Raw genomic sequence first — 6,220 nt, forward strand, 5'->3', positions numbered from 1 at the left:
ACTTACATTTTGTTGATATTTATTTCCCATATTTGGGTCCTACCCAAATTTTAGATTTAAGAGCAAAAAAAAATTACTGTTTAAGTGAAAGAGGAAAGGCTAAGTCACTGTTCAACATGGGCTAGATCTGATCTGAATTGGAGACACAGCCTTTGCAATTGAGGAAGGAGAGGTAAGCAGTAAACTTATACAGTTTCCTCCAAGAAGTGTTATACATAGATATTTTTCAAGGAAATTGGAATAAAGCAGTTTATTAATTGAGGGGAAGCTAGTTACAGTTAGCACCTGCCGCGGACTTTTTGAGGTTGTCGTCATTAACCAAATTCTTCGGGAAAAACAATCTTTGGCACCACTTACTCCAGACAAACCCTGTTTGGAACAGACAAGTGTTCTGACCCTATAGTCGCTCCAATGTCCACCAGCCACTCACGAGTGCCCTTAGGGCTTCTCCTTGGTGGTAGCATCCCAGAAATCCTACTAGTTTCAGAAGTGCCCTAGGAAGCCTACTTCTTGGATAATGGGCTCTGTCTGCAAAGCTAGGAGATCAGCCTAGAAAAAGAAACACACCAACAAACACCAGGAAACTATGTGTAATGGTTTGCTGCTTGTGCAAAAACCTCAAAGAGGATGAAGGTCAGACAGGGATAATAGGCCAATTTAATTCTGAAAGCACAAGGTGCAAGAAATTTTAATTATGGTCTGCCACTGAAATCACACAAGATCCAATGGCATCTAACTGCAACTGCTCATCAAGGGAGACAAGAGGTGTAATTGTAACCGCTGCATAATCACTGTGAGGGCACAGGGAAGGCTGCCTTCAGCTCCCAGCAGAGAAGGTATTAAGAGCCTCGAAAAATCCAATACGGGGAAACGAGATTGCATGTAGCCAAACAGAAGCTCCTAACACAAAAGCCAACCCGTGTGTGTGTGTGCGCGCGTGTGTGTGTGTGTGTGTGTGTGTGTTGAGGGTGAGGGTTCCAGAAAGAAAATGTGAAGCTGTTTGGCCCACACTGGGGATAAGAGATTGTTTGAAAACTCTGAACCCTTTTCTGTTTTGTGGATAAATGCACACAGAGAAAAGAGCACTGTCTCCTTTAGGTATTTCTCTCCTTGATGAAGCTTCACCCACTCTCCTTTGTTTAAGACAATTGGCTTGGATGTTACCGTGATTTACAGTACCAAACTCCCTTTAATTTGTTCCCATCAAACCCAAGTCTGGAGACAAAACGCCAAGCACACGACTGGAGGTGCCCAAGCCTGTGCAGCTCTGGCAGCGACGCCGCCGGCGCCCCCGGGCGTTTTCCCCGCACCCCACATCGCGTGGGCGCCCGTAAAGGCACGCGCGGAGAAAGCCCCTCCGTGGACTCCCCACTCCGCAAAGTTTAACAAAGCCGTGAAGTAAGGAAACCGAACCTCCCGTCCGCGCCCGCTGCAAAGTTGGCATTGAAGTTTGTGCCGGGATGTCCCAAATCTTGAGGGGGCGGGGGGCGCGAGTGTGCAGAGAGGCGGGAGGATGGATGCAGATGGGGAGACAGTGAGGGGAAGGGAGTTTTTCCGAGTGGACGGTCCGTGAGGCGGTTTTCTTCACCCGGAAGCCTGTTTGACTCAGAGAGGTCCGGGAGGTGCACGCCAGGGGAGGTCTCCCGGGGCGGGCGCTGTCGCCGAGGAGGCCGGCGAGCTGTCACCTGCGGGGGGCTGTGGTGGGAGCTGAGGGCGCTCTCCTAAGCGCCAAAAGAGGACGGGGACATTCACAGTCACCGGCTCTCGGGGCTCTAAGTAGTGGGGGAAGGGATATTCACGAGTGGGCAGGAGGCCAAAAGCAACACCTTTCGGATACGCTTTTCCCCTCCGACCTCTCCAACTTCCCGCGGCGCTGGTCAAGGACTCCCTCCCACCCCACCCCATCCCACCCAACCTCCCGGCCGACAATTCGGACCTGTCCACGGCAGAGCGTGGGGTGGAGTGCGGCGGGAAAGCAGAGGGCGCGAAGGTCGGGACCCCAAATTGCAAACCCTCAGCCCCTAGCAAAGACGACCAAATGCATTTACAACCGTGCAAGTATCTCAGCCTTGTAACAGAGCTCCGGGTTTGCGCCGGGCACAGTTCCCCGACTCTTCTGTTGTTCCTAATAAAGTCGATTACGTTGCCCTCCCGGAGCTGATTGGAAGGGAACCGAGAGGAAAAGGGGGGGAACGCGGGAAAAAGCGGGGGGGGGGGGGGGCGAGCAATCAACTTTGTAACCCAGCGCTTCCTCGCGCGATCCGTCGCCATGCTTAAGATTCCCACCCCCGCCGCCCCCCTCTTGCCTTTCAAGTGGATACTGAAACTAGGCCAAAACTTTTTCCCCTCCTTTTCTCTTAGCCACTAGACTGGATTGTGCCCCACGGAGCCCCATGGAGCTCTGCTTTCTTAAGCACAATAGCCGGACTAATTAGATCATAGAAGCAAGGCAGTGATACTGTAACAAGTAGCCCAAGAGGCAAAGAGGGAAGGGGCCCGAAAAGACAGAAAGGGGGAAAAGTTTGCAGCTCTCCGCACTTACCAATCAAGCCTCCCACCAGAAAGGCGATGATTTGGAACACGAGCAGAATCCCACCAACAATGCACAGCTTCTTGGTGCTCATGTTTTCTATAATTGCCCCAGCCATTTTTGCGCCCCCCCTTTTTCTTTTCTCCTTGAAATAAATGTTTTAGGGTGAGCTTTTTGCTCCCTCCTCTCACACACTCCCTCCTTCCTCGCCTCCTTTCTGGGCGCTGCAAAACTTCAGAGGTGCTGGAGCGCGGCGAGGATGGGACCGGGACGGAAGGCGCCCGCACGGATTCCCCCGGCGCAGCCGGCTCGGGTTCCCCCAATGCCCGGAGCTGTGATTGTGGCCGCTCCGCCGCCTGTGGACGCTTAAAGGAGCAGGGAAGCGGATCACATGACGCCGCCTCCCTCCCTTTCTTCCTCCCTCCCTCTCGCGCTTCCTCCCTCCCTCCCTCCCTCTCTTCCTCTACCCCTTGCCCACCAGTTCGGGGCTCAGAGCTCTGGCGGGTGCTGGCGCCTGGCTCCCGAGTCTGGCCTGCAACCTGTCTCTCCAAGGTCTGATGCCATTTAGGGGTTGCTGTTGATGTTAAGCGGGTTCCCCCTGCCCAGCTTCTCACAGGTTTCCTTTTCTGGTTTCCGAAGTGCGAGATTTAAATCACCGGTGGACCGCCTTGCAGACCTTTAACTTACGCGTTGACTTTAGGAAATGGTCCCCACCCCACCCCCAACTGCTAGAACTCTCTTTAGGAAAGAGGAGGAGAATTTTTTTTAAAAGGACCCAATAGATGCCTAAGTCAAAACACAGAGATGCGGAATAAAGTCTCAGCTCGACTTCTTTCTACCAGATTCCCAGCCTCGGTTATTGGGCACATACCCAGCTAAATTCCCCACGGCGCCCCTTGAGGAAACTTGCTCTCCAGCCAAATCAGACCACTGTTCGTTACTCCAGCACATGTGCTTCCACAGCCTTAACCCTGGTTATTGCCTTAAAGAGAACATGTTCTACTCCATCAATGTTAAACCTGATCCAAAACCAACTAGTGTTAAAAAATCTTTCTAATTTTCCACACCACCTCCATGCAGTATCTCTGGGAACTGAGCCCCTACAATCCTGTATTTACATTTTTACCTCCTATTGTAAGGATTTGTGTACACGTTTGTCTCCACCACTGAGCTGTAAACTCCTGGGGAATAGGGACCAAGTTTTTTTTGTTCTTTGTACCCCCCATGGTGCCTAACAAAATGCTAGCTCTAGTAGGTGCCCCATAATCTTTTGTGGAATGAATAAGTGAATGTGAAAGCAAGCCCACAGTTTGTATTTCAAAGGTCTAAAGAGATCTTAGTTGGTTTAGAGGGTACCTATATTAAGTTACAATGTTTGTTGTCTCTTTGTGAGAAATCATATATTTATATTTATACTTAACTTCCATAAAAAGAGGGGCGGGGCTCCCGATAGAGATTTCCTGCTCTATCAAGCCTAAATTTCTGGGCCTGGTTTTTCCATGTTTCATAAACTGGCCGCTTGGCCAGTACAACTCACCTTACTCAATAGACCCTTGGTTTGGTAAATACCCCACCCTGCTCCCCAAACGTGCAGTTTCTACCACCACCACCCACACATCTTGTTTCTTGTCCCTCCCATCCTTACACACCCTCTTCATGCCAAGAGACTATTTTTCCCAGTCCTCTCTCCTCCTCTACTCTGTTCCTGAATTTTCATTGCCCTTATAAAAGATGTCATGCAGGTTACACTTAATAGAAGCATTCATTTCTAATCTCCAAATAGAACAGAGACTTGTCAAGGACAAGCACCAAACTTTATGCATACAAAACTCCATCTCTTCAACATCTAATAGTTCTTAACAGTTCTGAGGATATACACATCATTATGTGTCACATAAGGATGTTTCAGTCAACAACAGACCGTGTGTGTGACAGTAGTCCTATAAGGTTATAATACCATATTCTTACAACACCTTTTCTATAGATATGTTTAGATACACAGAGTGCTTACTATTGCATTACAGTTGTCTACAGTGTTCAGTACAGTAACATGCCAGACAGGTTTGTAGTCTAGGAGCAATCAGCTACACGGTGTAGCCTAGGTCTGTAGTAGGCTATGCTACCTAGGTTTATGTAAGTGCCCTCTATGACATTTGCACAATGACAAATCACCTAACAACACATTCTCAGAAGGTATTCCCATCATTAAGCAATGCATGACTGTGGTTGCTGTTTATCTATTCTCTCATTCAACTCTTTATCCAAGTCACTTATTGAGCCTTTAACATGTTCCAGGCTTTCTTTCTTAAGCACTCAAGGATACCAAGATGTCAAAGTACTTGCACCTGCCCCAGAGGAACCCCCCCCCAGTCCAAATGTTATTCACTGAATAGTAATTAATTACCTCTACTTTGGCAAACACCAGGTACTATCAGAAAGGATGAAGTAGACAGAATTGTTGTCCTTCCAATGTCCTTCAGTTCAAAGTACTCAGATACCTTGGGGTATCATGTTCTGAGCCCAGCACTCCTAAGGGCCCATTTATCTTTCCTAAAAGTCATTTGTTTTCTCATAAATACACTTCTTCTCCTATTAAGATAGAATATAAGCTCCAAATTCTATTAACAACTGCCTCCTTGAGTGGTTATGAATGCCCACATACATTTGATATATGTGAACAAAAATTTGTCTTTTGCCTTGCTAATCTGTCTTTTGTCAGTTTAGTCCACAGACCCCCAAGCACTATGCATAAGAGGGTAGAGAAAAAATGGTGGGTTTTTTGTTTATTTATTTGTTTGTTTGTTTTTGAGACAGAGTCTCATTCTGTCGCCCAGTCTGCAGTGCAGTGACACGATCTTGGCTCACTGCAACCTCTGCCTCCTGAGCTCAAGCAATTCTCCTGCCTCAGCCTCCTGTGTAGCTGGGATTACAGGTGCCCACCACCACATCTAGCTAATTTTTGTATTTTTAGTAGAAATGGGGTTTCGCCATGTTGGCTAGGCTGGTCTTGAACTCCTGACCTCAGGTGATCCACCCACCTCTGCTCCCAAAGTGCTGGGATTACAGGTGTGAGCTACCACGCCTGGCCCCCGTCCACTTCAAATATAAACTGGATCCATAAAAAATGTCTGGAGTGGTAGAAGTGATTTATTCAGATTAGTGAACTCCTTGACTTAGTTTTTAATGAGCTGCTACAATACACCCCACCCCCTCTGCTCTGAAATGCATCTCTGCAGAGTAACTAGCCTAACTCCTTAGGTTTCAGTTTTCTCATCTGTAAATGAGTTGCTGGTTCTCCACCAAGATGATCCCCTGCTTTAAAAGAGCACTTATTAAATAGTTATTTTAATTAAAAAGGGATATTTCTAATTGCTAATCAGTACTTCTGTCATGAGATTACCAATAATGCCCAACTTGGTGGGATGTAGACACCTGTAGTATTCATCACCATGGGCTGCTTTAAAAAAATTGAATTTCTATCACATCTTTTTAAACATTAAAAGTGACTGTGAATCTTTATTTCCCAAGCGGACAACACAGGTGAATAGAAAAGAACATGACAGTTAGAGTCAGCTGGATCTGGTTTGGAACCCAGATCCCATCTGCCCCTTGTTTCATGTGATTATAGGCCATTATGCAGTTACTTACCACCTCTGAGGCTTCACAGACCAACTCTGAGGCTTCTGTAAA

At 47.6% G+C, this 6,220-nt stretch overlaps 1 protein-coding gene across 4 annotated transcripts in view; it reads right to left on the reverse strand.

Moving 5' to 3' along the window:
* WLS (Wnt ligand secretion mediator) overlaps positions 1 to 2,895 on the reverse strand; it is a 134,088-nt gene extending 131,193 nt beyond the window's left edge. For 3 of the 4 annotated variants that reach the window (NM_001002292.4, XM_011542191.3, NM_024911.7), the window contains exon 1: positions 2,543 to 2,872. In NM_001002292.4, coding sequence (NP_001002292.3) covers positions 2,543 to 2,648 — 106 coding nt within the window. In that variant the 5' untranslated portion in view covers positions 2,649 to 2,872. Of the gene's footprint in view, positions 1 to 2,542 lie in introns of all 4 variants that reach the window. The other variant, NM_001193334.1, reaches the window with a different exon arrangement.
* Between the last annotated feature and the right edge of the window lie 3,325 nt (positions 2,896 to 6,220).

This window comes from Homo sapiens, chromosome 1, assembly GCF_000001405.40.
Source record: "Homo sapiens chromosome 1, GRCh38.p14 Primary Assembly".
Classification (NCBI taxonomy): Eukaryota; Metazoa; Chordata; class Mammalia; order Primates; family Hominidae; genus Homo; species Homo sapiens.